This window comes from Homo sapiens, chromosome 2, assembly GCF_000001405.40.
Source record: "Homo sapiens chromosome 2, GRCh38.p14 Primary Assembly".
NCBI classification, from domain to species: Eukaryota; Metazoa; Chordata; class Mammalia; order Primates; family Hominidae; genus Homo; species Homo sapiens.
In genome coordinates this window covers 108,871,668-108,890,806 of record NC_000002.12, presented here as the reverse complement: position 1 = coordinate 108,890,806, position 19,139 = coordinate 108,871,668, and the positions used below count along the sequence as shown (strand labels likewise).

The window sequence follows — 19,139 nt, the reverse complement described above, 5'->3', positions numbered from 1 at the left end:
TATTCGAGTTATTAGTATCCCTGAGAGTAAAGAGACAGAGAAAAGGTTAGAAAATTTAATTAATAAAATAATAGATGAAAACTTCCTAAGTCTAGAGATTTAGACATTCAAATACAGGAGACTCAGTGATCTCCAGGAAGATACATTCTGCAAGCGTTTTCGCCATGACACATTATAGTCCAGCTGTCTGAAGTCAAAGATAAAGGGTGAATCCTAAAAAGAGCAAGAGAAAAGCATACAGTTACCTATCAAGAAAACCCCTGACCAGGTGCAGTGGCTCATGCCTGTAATCCCAGCACTTTGGGAGGCTGAGATGGGTAGATCACTCGTACTCAGGAGTACAAGACCAGCCTGGGCAACATGGCAAAACCGCTTCTCTACCAAAAACACAAAACATTAGCCAGGCATGGGGCTTGTGCCTGTGGTCCCAGCTACTAAGGAGGCTGAGGTTGGAGGATTGCTTAAGCCTGGGAGGCAGAGGCTGCAGTAAGCCCATATCATGCCACTGCACTGCACTCTGGACTAGGTGACAGAGTGAGACCCCATTACAAAAAAAAAAAAAAAAAAAAAAAAAGAAAACCCCATCAGCCTAAGAGTGAGTTTCTCAGCAGAAACTTTATAGGCCAGAAGAGAATGGTATGATATACTCAAAGTGCTGAGAAGAAAAAAAAAAAAAATGTCAGCCAAGAATACTATATCCAGCAAAATTATCCTTCATAAATGAAAGAGAACTAGTCTTTCCTAGACAAGCAAATGCTGAGGGAATTCATTACCACTAGACGACTCCCACAATAAATGCTCAAGGGAATTTTAAGCCTGGAAGCAAAATAACATTTACCATCATGGAAACAAATGAAAGTATAAAACTCACTGGTAAAGCAATCACATAAAATAGGAAGAGAAATGGTACCACTATAGAAACCCACCAACCACAACAACAATCAATAAGAGAAAAAGAAAGGAACAAAGAATATATGAAACAACCAGAAAAGACAACAAAACCTCACATATCAATAACTGTGAACACAAACAGATTTAATTCTCCACTTAAAAGATATAGAATAGCTGAATGGATTAAGAAACATGATCTAACTATACGCCTCTTACAAGAAACTCACCTTACCAGTAAAGACACATCTGAAAGTAAAGTGATGTACATATTTCATACAAATGAAAACCAAAATTAAGCAGGTGTAGCTGTACTGATGAGATAAAATAGACTTTAAGTCAAAAACAGTGAAAAAAAAAAAAGAAAAGAAAAAAAGGTTATTATATAATGATAAAGGGATCAATCCAGCAAGAGGATATAATTATTCTAAATATATATGTCTAGAATATTGGAGCACTCATATTAATAAAGCAAATATTATTAGATCTAAGGAGAGATAGATGCAATACAATAACAGTCAGAGACTTCATCTCTCCCACTCAGCATTAGATAGATCACCTCGACAGAAAATCAAAAAGCATTGGATTTAAACTAAACTTTAGAGCAATTGGTCCTAACAGATCTTTACAGAACATTCTATCTGACTACAGAATATACATTCTTTCATCAGCACATGGAACATTCTCCAGGATAGACCATATGTTAGGCCACAAAACAAGTCTCAACAAAACTTAACAAACCACAATCATATCAAGTATTTTCTCAGACCACAATGGATAAAACTAGAAATCAATACCATGAGGAACTTTGGAAACTATACAAAAACATGGAAATTAAACAGCATGCTTCTGAATAACCACTGGATAAAAAAGAAATTAATATGAAAATTTAAAAAAACTGAAAGAAATAAAAATGAAGAAACAATAAAGCAAAACTGATGGGGTACAACAAAAGCAGTGCAAAGGGGGAAGTTTACAGCAATAAACGCCTACATCAAAAAAAGCAGAAAGAGTACAAAGTAACAATCAAACAATATACCTCAAAGAAATAGAAAAGCAAGAACAAACCAAGCCCAAAAATAGACAAAAAGAAATAATAAAGATCAGAGCAGGACTAAATAAAGTAGGGACTTAAAAAAATACAAAGACTCAACAACATGAAAAATTGATTCTCCCAAAAGATAAAAAAAATTGATACACGGTTAGCTAAATTAATCAAGGAAAGAAGACCCAAATAAAATCAGAAATGAAAAAGAAGATATTACAAGCGATACCACAGAATTACAAAAATATCATCAGAGACTACTATGGACAACTATTTGCTCACAAATTAGAAAACACAGAGAAAATGGATAAATTCCCAGAAACATAAAACCTACCAAGATTGAATCAGTAATAAAAAAATTACCCAACAAAAAAAGCCCAGGACTAAATGGATTCAAACTGAATCCTACCAAACATACAAAGAAATAACACCAACCCTCCTGAAACTATTCCAAAAAATTGAAGAGAAGAGAATTCTCCTTAACTTATTCTATGAAGCCAGCATTACCCTAATACCAAAACCAGACAAAGACATAACAAGAAAAGAAAACTACAGGCCAATATCCCTGGTGAATGAACATATATGCAAAAGTCCTCCACAAAATACAAGCAAACCAAATCCAACAGCACATTAAAAACATAATACACCATTATCAAATGGGATTTATGCCAGGGATGCAAGGATAGTTCAACATATACAAATCAATAAATGTGACATATCACATCAACAAAATGAAGGAAAAAAACCATATGATCATCTCAACAGATGCAGAAAAAGCATTTTAAAAAATTCAACATCACTCCAGGATAAAAACTCTCAACAAACTAGGCATAGAAGAAACTTACCTCAAAATAAGAAAGGCTATGACAAGCCCACAGCTAACATCATACTGAATGAAGAAAAGCTAAAAGCCTTTCCTCTAAGAACTGAAATAAGACAAGGATGCCCCAGTTTACCACTGCTATTCAATGTAGTACTGGAAATCCTAGCTAGAGCACTCAGGCAAGAGAAAGAAATAAAAAGCATCCAGAATGGAAAAGAGGAAATTAAATTGGCCCTCCTTGCTGATGCTATGGCCTTGTATCTACCTTAATACTCCACCAAAATCTCTTTTATCTAATAAATAAATTGAGTAAAGTTGCAGGATACAAAACCAACATATAAAAATCAGTAGCATTTCTATACCCATAGTGATCTAGCTGAGAAAGAAATCAAGAAGGCAATTCCATTTACAATAGCTACAAAAATAAAATAAAATACCTAGGAATAAATTTAACCAAGGAAGTGGAAAATCTCTATAAGGAAAACTATAAAACACTGATGAAAGAAATTGAAGAGGACACAAATAAAATGGAAAAAGGTCCCATGCTCATGGATAAGAGAAATTAGTATCATTAAAATAACCACGTTGCCCAAAGCAATCTACAGATTCAATGCAATCCCCATCAAAATACCAACATCACTTTTCACAGAATCAAAAAAGCAATCCTAAAATTCATATGGAAACAGAAAAAGAGCTCAAAGTCATCCTGAACGAAAAGACAAAAGCTGTAGGCATCACAATGACTCACTTCAAAACATATTACAAGGATATAGTAACCAAAACAGCATGGTACTGTTATAAAAACGGACACGTAGACCAATGGAACAAAATAAAGAAACCAGAAATAAGACACATATTTATGGCCAAGTGATCTTTGACAAAGCCAAAAAGAACTAAACACTGTGGAAAGTTCACCCTCTTCAATAAATGGTACTGAGAAAATTGGTTAACCAGATGCAGAGGAATGAAAATGGACCCCTATCTCTCATCATATACAAAAATAAACTAAAAATAGATTAGAGATTTACACATAGGACATGAAACTATAAAAAACAGCATAAGAAAGCCTAGGGAAAACTCTCAGGGAAAGAATTTATGACTGAGACCTCAAAAGCACAGGCAACAAAACAAAAATAGACAAATAGGATTATAATAAACTAAAAATACTTGACACAGAAAAGGAAATGATCAACAGAGTGAAGAGACAACCTAATGAATAGTAGAAAATATCTGCAAACTATTCATCCAACAGGGGACTAATTTTCTGAATACACAAGGAACTCAAACAGCTCCACAGTTAAATTTTTTTTTTAAATCCCATTAAAAAGTGGGCAAAGGGGGCCGGGCATGGTGGCTCACACCTGTAATCCCAGCACTTTGGGAGGCCGAGGCAGATGGACCATGAGGTCAGGAGATGGAGACCATCCTGGCTAATGCAGTGAAAGCCGTCTCTATTAAAAATACAAAAATTAGCCGGGCATGGTGGCGGGCGCCTGTAGTCCCAGCTACTCGGGAGGCTGAGGCAGGAGAACGGCGTGAACCCAAGAGGCGGAGCGTGCAGGGAGCTGAGATTGCACCACTGCACTCCAGCCTGGGTGACAGAGAGAGACTCCGTCTCAAAAAAAATAAATAAAGTGGGCAAAGGACATGAATAGACATTGTTCAAAAGAAGACATACAGGTAACCAACAGATACATGAAAAAATGCCCAACATCAGAATGAAAATCAAAATCACAATTAGATATCATCTTACCCCAGTCAGAAGAGCTATTATTAAAGACAAAAATAACAGATGTTGGCAAGGATGTAGATAAAAAGAATTCTTACCCACTGTTGGTGAGAATTTAAACAGCCACTATGGAAAAGTAAGATTTCTCAAAAAACTAAAATTAGAATTACCACTGGATCCTGCAATCCCTCTACTGGGTATCTACCCAAAGGAAAAGAAATCAATATGATATACTGATATATATCACCCCCATGTTTATTGCAGCACTATTCACAATAGCAAAGATATGGAATCAAACTAAGTGCCCATCAGCGGACGAATGGATAAAGGAAATGTGGTACATATACACAATGAAACACTATTCAGCCACAAAAAGAATGAAGTCATGTCATTTGCAGCAACATGGATAAAACCAGAGGTCATTATTTTAAGTGAAAACAGCCAAGCAAAACAGACAAATGTCACATGTTTCCACTTATATGTGGAAGCTAAAAAATTTGATCACATAGTGGTAGAGAGGGAAAGACAGATACCAGAGACTGGGAATCATGAGTGGTGGGAGGAAGAGGATAAGGAGAACTGGGTTAAAGTGTACAAACATACAGTAAGTTAGAAGGAAAAAATTCAATGTTCAACAGCTGACTGGGGTGACTATACTTAACAAAGATGTATTGTACTCGGGTGGACACCCCAAATACCCGTGTGGTGACTTGATCACCACACATTATACACATGTAACAAAATTTCTCATGTATCCCATAGATTTGTACAAATAAAAAATAAAAAGTCTGGTCTCATTAATTCTTTACATTTAGAAAGGAATTAATTTTTACAGATACAGTACTTACTTTTCAATTTTATTGTATAACTTTTCATTAAAGTGAGAAAGCCATTATATTCATAAGACAAACACAGTATCAAAGAAGTTAAAGTCATTAGGTAATGAAATAACAATCATCTCAAATTTGGATGCACATGCTCAATAACTTTTTCTCTCAGCCTAAATGCCTTATTGACAGGGAAAAGTTATATGAGAGGAAAACAAAGTGGCAAGAAAACTGCACTGGCCCCTCAGGACAAAAACTCATCAAGGAAAGATTCAAATGTTTTAAAGTTCTGCAAAAGCAATATGAAAAACCAAAGTCCAGCATTGGGGGCGGGTAAAGGTGGGTTTGTGAATAGGAAGAAAGGCTGGAAGTTTCAGCTCCCTTACAGAGTACCTGGAAAAAAGACACTGATTAGTAATTACATGAGCTAAATTCTCCTTTAGCATCTCTCAGTATTAATTCTCTGCAAATATTTGTATTACAATATTCCAATTAGCTCCTTGGGAAGAAATTTTGATGTAACTATTCTCATTCTACAGACAGGGAAATTCCAGAAGCCACTGCTGATGGGGAGTGGGGAGGGGCTGAAAAGCCTGGCCACAGAGCAGAGGTGTTTCAACGAGGGTGTGTGGCTTGGCAGACCCGCCTTCAATTCCTGAGCCTGCACCCAGGAGTGACAAGCCTGGACTCACAGCTGCCCGGCTTTCGAAAGAGAAAAAGAGGTCAAGTGGCCTTTCCCAGCTGGAAGATGCCTGTTGCAGCTGCTTGAGAGTCCTATCCGGGAGGACACAATCTCGAAAAGGGGACCTGCCAGGAGAGCTGTGGCATGTGTCATTTGCTCCTTGGCCAAAACCATCATCCTTGACTTTCTGATGTTTATTATGTGGAGCTTTGTCACAGGTTCCTACATGAAATACGCTGTCACTACCACAAAGAAACAAGCAAAAACAAAACAAAGATCTCTTCTCTTATTCTCTTCAGCGGTGCTCTTTCTTCTATTTTGATTGCATCAAGCTTTTCAGAATGGGAACATATTCACTGTCTCAGAGGTTTCCTTTTCTCACAAAGGATGCTCCACTTCCAGTCAGGCTATGCAGTGAATGCCCATTCTGTGCCTTGTGGAATTACACTGCTAGCTCCCATTCTGAGGAGTGTTTATCTTCCAAAGTGCCTCTCTACCTGTTTTCTTTGACATTCACAATCTGGGAGACCAGGCACCATGGTCCCTGCTTGACAGGTAAAGCAAGTTGGGCCCAGATAACTGAAGTGACTTACTAAAAGTTCACATCATTGGGCAGGTGCAGTGGCTCATACCTGTAATCCCAACACTTTAGGAAGCCGAGGCAGAAGGATCACTTGAGCCCTGGAGTTCAAGACCAGCCTGGCAACATAGCAAGACCCCATCTCTACAAATATTTTAAAAATTAGCCGAGCATGGTGGCGCATGCCTATAGTCCCAGCTACTGAGATGGCTAAGGTGAAAGGATTGCTTGAGCCCAGAATGAGCCAAGACCATGCCACTGCACTCCAGCCTAGGAACCTGTGAGAGACTCTGCCTCAAACAAAAAATCAAAACAAGTTCACATTATTTAGGAGTGATGCTAGTGAGTCAGTCCTGCTCCTGAAAGAAAGCAGATGACACCCTCAAGGTGCGTAATTTATAAAGGGGCTGTTTACAAAGAGAGGAGTGAGGTTTAGGGAAACCAAGAGGGGCAGACCCTTGAGTCACAAAGCACTGTGCCCTGGGGGATGCCCTGGAGAAGCAGATGCCCTGTTGTCTCCTGATGGCAACCCCCACTGGCCAAGCCCAGCAAGAAGCCCACTCGAGTGAGCATCCCAGGCCAGGGAGGAATGTAGAGTGGAAGGGTCAATGGAAGATTCCAGCCCAGCCAGTGAGGCTGAAACTGGACATCCTGAATCCTCTCTTCATTAAGGCAAACCATTATGGAGAGAACACTGCAAACATGCCAACCCTGGGAACCAGGCACACATGGATCGCATCCCAGCCCTGCCCTTGCTGGTTATGTCTGGATCTTCATCTCATCTATATGTCAGGGGATGGCACAACTGGCATTGTGCTCAAGACTGAAAGAGGCAATGTCTGAAAAGCACATGGCCCCGTGCAGGTGAGTGCTCAGTAAATAGTGCACATTCTTGTCACTGGTCCCATCTTCATCTTACAGAACTGACAATAACCACAGCCACAGAGATTTTTCCAGTTTGGTCTCATCTCAACTGGGTGCTACAGATTTGCCATGAAATATTTTCAGGGATTTGTATAAATAACTGCAGACCTCATGATACAAAGTATTTCTTGGGCAAATTTCAAGAAGTTGAAAGCTGTATCACACCTTCCTCTACACATATCTAAAGGCTTTGGGCTCACAAAATATAGAGGATGGGTTGAAATGAAATACAGTGGAAAATAAGAAATGAATTGAACACTGCTGAATTCAGTGTTTAATCTCGATGCTCCTATATAAAGAAGACAAGGTCTTTTTTAGCCCCACCTGACTTGCGCCATCCTTAAACCCCTACCTCACACCCTTTAATCTCGATGCTCCTATATAAAGAAGACAAGGTCTTTTTTAGCCCCACCCTACTTGCGCCATCCTTAAATCCCTACCTCACACCCTTCCAGCAGTCCCAGATCTGCACACAGTTCCATTTATCTAGGGAAGACTGACACTCTCAGGTGCTTACCTCTCAGTGCCAGGCCTGCTTAGGATTTCAAGAATTTCAATAACTTAGATGGTGAGAGAAAGAGGAGGCCTGAGAAGAAAATGAAGAGACATGTGGACATCAGAAGGGCATGGAGGATGACCTGAAAAGGAAAGGGGATGGGAAGTGAACAAAAAAGGTGAGAGAAAAGGGTCTTGGGGGCTTAACCTGCAATAACACAGCAAGTGGGTCTACAATGGGTGGGAAGTTTGAACAGGCAAACAAGAGAATGAGATAAAGCACTGCTTTGCCAAGTAACGCCCTCCTAAGAGCTTTACACTTTTAGAGAATTCCAAACCCTTAAAATCCTTTGCTAGCATAGAAAAGGATCTGACACTTCTGTCTGTTCATCAGAAGGGTGTGAGCTCTGCGTTTCCATACAGGCATACCTAATTTTGTTGCACTTCAACTTTACTGTGGTTCAGAGATATTGCGTTTTTTACAAATTGAAGATTTGTGGCAACCCTGCATCTGGTGAGTCTATTGGAACCATTTTCTCCAAAACCATGAGCTCACATTTTGGTAATTTGCATTTTTCAAACTTTTCTGTTACTATTATGTTATTATATCTGTCATGGTGATCTGTAATCAGTAATCTATTTTTTCTTTTTTTTTTTTTTGAGACAGGGTCTCACTCTGTTGCCCAGACCGGAGTGCATTGGTGTGATCATAGCTCACTGCAGCCTCCAACTCCTGGGCTCATGTGACCCTCCTGCCTCAGCTTCTCGAGTTGCTAGGACTACAAGCGCCTGCCACTATGACTGGCTGGTTTATTTCTGTTTTTGCTCTTTTTGTAGAAACAGGGTCTTGCTATGTTGCCCAGGCTGGTCTCAAACTCCTGGCCTCAAGCAATCCTCTAGCCTCAGCTTCCCAAAGTGCTGGGGTTACAAGAGTGAGCCATCGTGCCTGGCCAATAATCTCTGATGTTACTATTGTAATTGTTTCAGGATGCCAAGAACCACACCCATGTAAGACAGCAAACTTAATTGATGAATTTGTGTGTTATGACTGCTCCACTGACTGGCTGATCCCCCATCTCTCCCTCTCCTTGGATCTCTCTTCATTTCCTGAGACATAACAATACTGAAATTAGGCCAATTAATAACCTTAAAATGCCCTCTAAGTGTCCAAGTGAAAGGAAGAGTCTCACATCTCTCACTTTAAATGAAAAGCTAGAAATGGTTGGGTTTAGCATGTCCAAAGCCAAGAAAAGCTGAAAGCTAGGCCTCTTGTGCCAAACTACGAAGTTGTGAAAGCAAAGGAAAAGTTCTTAAAGGAAATTAAAAGTGCTACTCCAGACAACACACAAATGATAAGAAAACACAGCAGCCTTATTGCTGATAAGGAGAAAGTTTTAGTGGTCTTGATACAAATCGGCCACAATATTCCTTTAAGCCAAAGCCTAATCCATAGCAAGGCCCTAACTCTCTTCAATTCTATGAAGGCTGAGGAAGCTGCAGAAGGAAAGGTTGAAGCTAGCAGAGGTTGGTTCATGAGGTTTTAGGAAAGAAATCATCTCCATAACATAAAAGTGCAAGTTGAAGCAACAAGTGCTGGTGTAGAAGCTGCAGCAAGTTCTCCACAAGACTGAGGTAAGACCACTGATGAAGTGGCTACACTACACAACAGATTTTCAATGTAGATGAAACAGCCTTCTATTGGAAGACCATGCCATCTTAGGCTCCACATCTGATTCTAGTTCATTTGCAATTCCCACCACATCGGCAGTTACTTCCTCCACTGAAGTCTTAAACCCCTCAAAGTCATTCGTGAGTATTGGAATCAACTCTTTCCAAATTCCTGTTAATGTTGATATTTTGAACTTCTCTCATGAATTATAAAGTATATATGGAGAAGCAAATCGACTTGAAAGTTGAAATTACGTTTTGGTTCACAGGCTGCAGAATGGATGTTATGTTATCAGGCATGGAAACATTAATCTTGTACATGTCCATGGTAGAGCTCTTTGGTCACTGGGTGCACTGTTAGTAAGTGGTAATGTTTTCAGAGGAGTCTTTTTTTTATCTGAGCAGTAGGTCTCAACAGCAGGCTTAAAGTATTCAGGAAATGATGCTGTAAACAGATGTGCTGTCATCCAGGCTTTGTTCTTCCATTTATAGAGTACAGGCAGGGGAGATTTAGCATAATTCTTAAGGGCCCTAGGATTTACAGAATGGCAAATGAGCATTGCCTTCAAAGTCACCAGCTCCATTAAACTCTAACAAGAGAGTCAGCCTGTCCTTTGAAGCTTTGAAGCCAGGCCTTGATGTCTCCTCCCTGGCTCCTCTCTAGCTATGAAAACCTAGGAAGTTTAGCCTTCTGGATGCCATTAAGAAAGTTCATAATTCATGGGAGAAAGTTAGTTGGTACTCACAAAATAACTTGTTAGGATTTTGAATAGGATTTCCATTGTATCTATAGATCAAGTTGGGAAGAACAGACATCTTAACAATATTGAGTCTTCCTATCTATGAACATGGAATCTACAGTACTGTCCCCTCTATCATTTTTGGTATTAGCAATCTGTGCCTTCTCTCGTTTTTTTTTTTGTTTGTTTTTGTTTGTTGTTGTTTTTTTTTTTTAAGTTACCCTGTCTGGAAGCTTATTAATTTTATTATCTTTTCAAAGAAATAGCTTTTGGTTGTGTTGACTTCCTGTTTTCAATTTCATTGATTTCTGTTTTTTAAAATGTTTTCTTTTGCTTTGGATTTGTTTCTTATCATGTCTGGCCTCCAAGGAACTGTTTTACTTTGCCACCAGCTCAACCACATGCTTATGTTCTCTTAACATTTTTAGTTGCACTGCACCTGGAGAATAGATATAGTCCACCACCCTGCTGAAAATAAAAATCTTCTATTTTACATTGTTTACTCTAGAAAATTTCTTCTGTTATTCCAATAAATTTGAAGGTTGGAAGAGAGGAGGTAAACTCAAGGACTCTAGTCACAACTCTAATATGGGTAAAAATCTAGTATTGCAAATTCCCTCTCACTCCCCTTCAACTAACAGAGCTCTAGTCACAACAATGATAGCGGCTTAGTCACTCAGATCTCCCTAACCCCATTTCTTTTTTGATCTATAAAATGGTAACAATTAAAAGACCCATCTCACAAAGTTATTATGAGGATTAAATAATAATAATATACTAAAAACTTAGCCTGGCCAAAATATATTTTTCTATTAGAAAGTTAATCTTGTATTTCTGGAATGTATGTTACCCTACTTAATCATGGATTAATGTTTCTGTCATATGCAGTTGGTATTAATTTCTCCATAATTCTTTGAGACTTTTAAATCTTATTCTTTCTCATTTTGCCAACTGTTTGATACCAGATTCATGCTAACTGCATAAAATGAATTTGGATGATTTTTCTACCTTCTGGGACAGTTTAAATAACTTTAAATATTTCATGTTGAAATTTTAAAACAATCCACTTGTAAAACACCTGGACTTGCAGCCATTTTAAAAAAGAATTCTTTGATAATTTTATAAAAGACTGTAGGCTAGGCACATTGGTTCATGCTTGTAATCCCAGCATTCTGGAAGGCTGAGGCAGGAAGACTGCTCGAGCTCAGGAGTTCAAGACCAGTCCAGGCAACATGGCAAAACCCTGTCTCTACAGAAAATTAAATAAATAAATAAAAGACTGCAACGGTTTGCTAGTGCAGATTTCTTAAGCCAATTTTGATCTTTTCCTAGAGAACAGTCCATTTCATTCAGATTTTCAAATTTATTTAGAACATGACCATAAAGAACTTATAATTTTTAAACTTCTTTATCCTAAATATTTTTGTTCACATTCCTGTCATTCTATTTTTTGCTATATCTATATATTTCATTTCTTTTTCAGTGTTTTGAGAATATTTATGCTATTTTTAATAGTTTCCTTGATATTTTCCAAAAGGATTCTTTATCTTACATTTTTCTAATAGTGAAATTAACACTTCAACTCTTTCTGATAATGTAGAAGATTGTAGTTAACAGCTCCTCTTTCATCTCTACCTCAATCTCAAGGCCCCATCAATTCTTAGTTTTTGTTAACAAAGGCTAAGATAGACTTACCCAGATACTTACTACTAACATATTGCTTTTCCCATTATTTAAAAACAATTTTTTTCAAATAAAAGGTCTCACATATTTGTTACTAAACCACCCTACTACTGCAGAGCATATACACAAAGAGAAAAACCATTTTCCCGATAAAACATATCTGACTGTCCAGATGGTGGTGACATTTTCAGTCTGATATGGTAAGATGACAGTGACCTTGATACAGCATAAATATGTGTGCCATCTCATTTGCAATTCCTTACAGACCCAGCGTGGTTCCTCTCCAGTGTCTCCTCTTGGAACTGTACCTGATTTTATTATCAGTTTTCATCTGAATGCACTGGGGAATGAGACAATTTTGCTTTTGTTTCTTGGCCTGAAATCACTTGACCCTGAAAGACTTGTGAGAAGACAGGGTGAGAAATGGAGTCAACTGTACACATCATGATGATGGAGGAAGGAAGAGCGAGGGGGCTGCTTTTTCCATTATTTATCCTTTTCAGGAATTTAACATCTCAATCCATCTTATAAACAGTTATAATTATTTAATGTTTAAGTTGTTTCAGTGTTCAGTGCTTTTGATATGAGGTTGATTTAATAAACTGTTTTCTTTCATCTCTTAGTTGATTAATCTTTAAGTCATTTCTTTCTCCAGAATAGTACGTAAGTGGTATAATTTCTCAACGCCTGAATGTCTGAAGCTGTCATTCCATTGTCTTCACTTATGAAAGGCATCTTCACTAGGGAGAAATTCTTGGATTAAAAATCTTCTCCTGTAGAGCTCCCTATTACCTTCCAGCATTCTATAAGGCTAGTCTGGTTTTTCCTTTCTTCTAAGTAACTGGCTTTTGTTTGTGCTTTTATCCTTGTAACTTACCATTTGGCCAGGATGCATCTAATTATAGAACCCTTTTCTCATAGGTTTTTCTGGAACATGATGAGCCCTTTCAATCTGTACATGCAGTTCTTTCTTTGGCCACCAGAATCTTTATTCAACTATATTTCTGAATATTGCTTCCGCTCCACTTGTTCTGTTCTTTTCTTCAGAGACACCAAATGCTGCCATGCAGAAGTGCCAGGCTCTGTCCTAGTATCTGCCATCCACTCTCATGAGTACTATCTCTATATACTCTGAGTTCCGAGACACCTTTTGGTTTGTTCTTGTCATGCTAATCCTATTTTATGAAGTTATTTTTTGTTTCTAATGTGCACTTTGGCTTCTGCGTTTTTATTTTATTTATTTATTTTTATTTTTTTGAGACAGAATCTCACTTTGTTGCCCAGGCTGGAGTGCAATGGCGTGATCTTGGCTCACTGGAACCTCTGCCTCCCAGGTTGAAGTGGTTCTCCTGCCTCAGCCTCCCGAGTAGCTAGGATCACAGGTGCCCATCACCGCCTGGCTAATTCTGTTTTTTTTTGTAGAGACGGGGTTTCACCATGTTGGCAAGGCTGGTCTTGAACTCCTGACCTTAGGTGATCCGCCCACCTCAGCCTCCTAGAGTGCTGGGATTACAGGCGTAAGCCACCGCGCCTGGCCTTCTGCATTTTTAAGTTTCTATGGTTCCACCATTCTCACCTTGGCCTGTTCTTTCATTATGGCTTTCTGTTTCTACTTCAAAAATGGCACATTTTCTGGTATTTTTTTGAAGAGGCCCAATAGTTTCTTGAAAATTTCTTCTAACTCCTGAAACTGAGATTATACACTGATCATATATGATTTTATGACTCTTTAAAACAATGTTTCTCAGTATCCTGTCCTAAGTCCCAAGTTTTACCACCTTTACTTCACCCAGACCTGTGGCCACTTTACTCATCTTTGGCTATACCAAGAGATATCTCTGGTAACAGGACGATTATTTTTGTTTACCTTTCAATGTTTAAAAAATGTCTTGCCTTGTATATACATGCTCCAGTAATAATTATTTTGAAAACAAAAGTTTTTAAACCTGTGAACAGCATAATAAAAAACTTTTTCTATCCCACAAAGAGCACAATAAAAAAAAAATCAACATCTGTTAATCTAGGATACAGTATATAGAAAAGTTATGGTATCAAGATGATAGTTTAAAGATATACATTTTTGCTTTCAAAAGCAAGGATTCTAATATATTAGGAAAATAGAAAGACAGTATTATTTAACCCTGTTCTCACATAAGCACCAATTTTATTCCAAATAATCACATAATTTTAAGAAATAATTTTCCTAATATATTTTTACAAAAAGTCACTTCAGTGTCATACATTCTAGAAACGCCATCTTGTATATTAGTATTACCTTACCTGAACTGAAACATTCCAAAAGTTCCAATACCTTCTACAGATTTCATTTTTACAGTTCAAAAAAATTATTTATTTTTCATGATAAATGATGCTACTGATAACTTTACTTGGTAGAATTGTAGTTACTTTGGTAATTTCTACATGTTTATAAATAAGCACCACATATACTATATTAAAAAATTAGCCAGTCTAAGGGCTTGCACTGGAGACCAGGGAGTTACATTTTGTTAAACCCAGATTGAACAGAGTTGAATTTAGATTAATACAGAGAAATGCATGCTCTGGGTTTGTTGTCCTTTGTATTTCTTGAAGCATCAGATGAATCGTAAAAAGTTCAAAGAGCTTCTTATTACTCCTGTAAAAAAAATGAATACATTATTTAATTACACATACTTAGAGAGTTTATCTGCAATGACACTGACAGATAATTTATGTGTAAACATGAGGAAATGGCATCTGTTTTTAAAAACAGTGGAGAAAATAGGCAACTAAAAGATTAGAATGCTGAAACAAACAAAATAGGTTTTATGAGATAAACCTGAAGCAGAAAACCACTGGGGAAAAAAGAAAACTTTTTTTTCTTTTGAGATAAGGTCTTATTCTGGCACCCAGGTGGAGTGCAGTGGCATGAACACAGCTTACTGCAGCCTCAACCTCCCCAGCTCAAGCAATCCTCCCATCTCAGCCTCCCAAGTAGCTAGGACTACAGGCGCACATCACCAAACCTGGCTAATTTTGTTTATTTTTTGTAGAGACAGGGTGTCACTATGTTGCTAAGGCTGGTCTTGAACTTCTGGGCTCAGGCGATCCTCCTTCCTTGGCCTCCCAAAGTGCTGAGACTACAGATGTGAACCACTGTGCCCAGCCTGGAACCATTTTACAACCCTGAAAATTGCACCCTATTCACTATTAGAGAGCGTGAGAATTTTTTTTTTCACAGCTAGCAAAACAGACAAACATTTGATCATCCTATTTTGAGTAAGCAGGCCTTTTTAAAGTGGCAGAATATTGGTTTATCTTTTGACTTGGCTATAGAATACTTGTTCAACCATCCTCTTTCTAATAACCTGTCAGTAATTTCATTTCAATCATTAAGAATTTGTTTCTTTTTTTTTTTTTTTTTATTATACTTTAAGTTTTAGGGTACATGTGCACATTGTGCAGGTTAGTTACATATGTATACGTGTTTCTTATTTCCTTGTCTAGCTTTGTTTCTTATTTCCTTGTCTAGCTTTGTTTCTTATTTCCTTGTCTAGTTATTTGACAAACTCTCTTGAGAGAGTTTGTCCTAATACAAACTCTTATGTACTATCCTAATACAAAAGGATTTACATCTTTTGTGGTCTTAAAGATTTATTTTAAGATCTGCTTGAGCATCAACTATTCCCAGTCTTCTTGTTCAAGCTTTGTTTTTTTATCTAAGTCTAAAATGAACCTAAGCTACAAACACATCATGAATAGTAAAACATTTTGGCCCAAGGTTATACTTGCACTTTGGGACTACCTTTAAAAAAAAAAAATCCCATGAATTAAGAAGTAAAAAAGAATTAAATCTAAGTAATGTTATTGCAGCTTCATGGCACCATAAGGTAACTGCAATAGGCCTTACTAGGAATTTACTGAAATCAAGAGAATCACGGTATAGTCTGCAAGAAAAGGAAGACAGTAAATTGATAAATTCAGCGCTAGTAACTTGGTCAGTCAAATTATAAGGTTATAATTTGACAATAATTTATTACAATCCTCTACTAGGCATGTTACCAAATAGAACATATGGATCTCTTAATCCCTATCTACAAATAATTTCAAGATGCATTGCATTTACTACTCAAGCATATGGAAGCCTGGTAAAATCTAAATTCTCTACCACGGGAATCATGGATGAGGGGATGAGGCCAGGAGGAGAAGAGCTGAACCTAAATCAAAATAAAAATGTTACTGTTATACAAATGAGTTGAGATAGAAGGTGTCCAGATTTGCCTCAAAGGAAACACTACAGCATACCAAGAATCACGGAAAATACAACTTAAAATCGATGTCCTTATTTATAGTTTAGTAACTGGTTATACAAGTTTCTGAGTCAGGAGAAAGATGAGGAAACAAAGCCCATGATTCTCATAAAAAAATCCAAATTAGTGGCAGTAGGCAGTCCATAAGAGTTTACTAAAATAAATCCCGTTACCAAAGTAATTTCAAATCTCTTCTGCTTGCTTCATTCTCATTCCCTAAATTCACTTTAGTACATCAATAAGGATTTGCAAAATACTTTTATCTTTTTATTTTCACCTGTGGTATTACAGAATACCAGTATGCAAGAATTTATTCTGATATTATTACTTGGTTGCTAAAAACTGCTCTTACTTTTATATGAAGCATTTAAAGTTCATTTATCTGAAATGAGCTATAGAAACAACTAGATGTTCTGAGATCAGAACTCTAATTCTAGTCTGTCACTAAATATGTGGTCTTAGATCAGCGTTAGTATTTATGAATCTTAATTTTCTACATCTGTATAATGGAAATTTTTTTTTAATAATCAAAGCTTAAGTAGCATGGGATTCAGAAAGGTCTAAATCAAGCTTGTCCAACCTGCAGCCCATGGGCTGCATGCGGCCCAGGATGGCTTTGAATGTGGCCCAACACAAATTTGTAAGCTTTCTGAAAACACTATGAGGTTTTGTTTTGTTTTTAGCACATCAGCTATCGTTAGTGTTAGCGTATTTTATGTGTGGCACAAGGCAATTCTTCTTCATCCAGTGTGGCCCAGGGAAGCCAAAAGATTAAAACCCCTGGTTTAAATGATCACAGTAAGGTATTTTTCAATAAAAAATGTTAGAAATAAGAAATTCTTACTTGATTTTGGAAAGTTTCTGTAAAATAATACTGAGTTTTTCTAGTATTTGAAGATCAAGCTTAGGGGCTCGAAGCAGCACAGAGCAAGTACGAAAAAATAAAGAGTTGCTACAGGCTTCCAGGAAAGGCTGCAAGGATTCTGCAAAACAAATCAACAGTGCTTTACTATTAGGGAGTAGCGAAAAAGGAAATTAAAAACAAATTAAAATCAGAACTATGTGAGGCATTTATAAATATTCATTTAGATTTTCATTCTTTTCATACTTAAATTTTTGAGTGAAAATATCATCATTTGAAAAATTAAAACATCCACTGGCTCTTATTCAACAAGGCAAACAAAAGATTATTTACCCTAATATTAAATTCCTATTAGGCAAAATCTAGAAGAAATCCCATGTTTGAAAGAAAGGAGGAAAGCTATTTCTTCAGTAAGTTCGTAACAATAAGTTCAGTTTAAATACTATAATTAGCAACAAGAAATTCTGCTTAAGTAGTAAATTAAAAAAACAAAAAACAAATCAAAGAGCCTCCAAATTTGTGAATTTCACTTGACTATTAATGACAGTTTACACAGTCACTAGATAAGGAAGAACCTTTGGAGCATAAAAGCAAAAAGGGAAAAGATTCATTTAAAAAAAGACTACTCTCACATTTAATTTAGATGAGACTCTGGACTTTTATGTTGAAGCTATTACAAGTTAAGACTTGTGGGGCTATTTAGATGAAATAAATTATTTTGTTTATGAGGACATGAGATGTGGGGGGCCTGCAGGCAGAATGCTGTAGTTTGAATGCTTGTCCTCTGTAGAACTCATGTTGAAATTTAACTGCCATTGTAATAGTATTAAGAGTGGGGACCTTTAAGAAGATAAGGCCATGAGGCTCCACCGCCATGTGTGAGTGCAGCCCCCTCTTGCTCTCTCTTGCCCTCTTGTCCTCTGCCAGGTGATGATGCAACAAGAAGCCCTCGCAAGATGCCAGCATCTTGATACTGGATTTCCCAGCCTCTAGAATATACGCCATTAAAGTTCTGTTCATTTTAACTTACCCAGTCTCAGGTATTCTGCTATAGTAGGATAAAACAGACTAAGTGGTATATGCTAGGAATGGAGCACTGGAGACAATGGTTATGTGCCTTTTGCATATAACTATGTAGTAAAAGTAGGGTAACCAAACTCATTACTTTCACAGTAATAGTCCAACAAAAGCATGGTCTAAACATAATTTACCGAGGTATGTGTATGTGGTGGTGGAACGAGTTAAGAATTTTGGGGTACTGGGATGGAATGAATGTATTCTGCGTATGAGAAGGACATAAATTTTGGGCACCAATGGCAGGATGCTATGGTGGGGGGAGGAGGAGAAGGAGGGAAGAAGAGAAAATGATCAGACTCTTCTCTGAATTCTCCGAGGCAACAATGAATGTCTGAAGACAACAAAGCAATGTTTATTTACTAAGTTCTGAACAAAAGCAAAAGAGATTAAAAACCACTCAGTCAAGATCTGGTTAAGTATAAAAGCCTCAGGCATTCTCAAACATGAAGTACCTCTTTAAATTGGTGGAAGGAAGTAGGGCAAAGTACGTGTGAGAGAGGGGAATTAAAAGATCATTCAAAATTAAGAAAAAAGACCTGGAGAAGCCACAGTAAAAGGACTAGTCTTGATCACTGAATATAATTAACTGTAAAACTAGAGAAAATAAAGCTAGTTATGTAGCAAATGTGGAAATGGTAGTCACAAAACAAAAGGTAAAAAGATAAACTATGACTAAAAAATAGCAATATCACTTTTAAAAATCAGAAAATGGAGGCGGGGAAGATGAAAAGTGCAATACATTAGCAGTATGTATTTCATCTTTCAGGCTGGAAGTCAATCAATTCTGTGTAGAACACAGTATTTAAATAGGGTATACAATTAAAAAA

The 19,139-nt window shown here is 37.3% G+C and overlaps 2 protein-coding genes and 1 pseudogene across 47 annotated transcripts in view; all 3 read right to left on the bottom strand.

The window, feature by feature from the left end:
- The window catches only part of RANBP2 (RAN binding protein 2), a 1,122,820-nt gene that overhangs the window by 951,495 nt on the left and 152,186 nt on the right, over positions 1-19,139 (bottom strand). The window lies entirely within an intron of this gene.
- The window catches only part of CCDC138 (coiled-coil domain containing 138), a 98,736-nt gene continuing 84,918 nt past the window's right edge, over positions 5,322-19,139 (bottom strand). For 18 of the 46 annotated variants that reach the window (XM_047443542.1, XM_017003492.2, XM_047443543.1 and 15 more), the window contains 2 exon segments: positions 17,218-17,356; positions 14,216-14,719 (listed from right to left, as the gene is read on the bottom strand). In XM_047443542.1, the coding sequence (XP_047299498.1) occupies positions 14,554-14,719; positions 17,218-17,356 (305 nt within the window). In that variant the 3' untranslated portion in view covers positions 14,216-14,553. 46 annotated transcript variants of the gene reach the window in all.
- RPL39P16 (ribosomal protein L39 pseudogene 16) lies at positions 12,344-12,499 on the bottom strand (annotated as a pseudogene).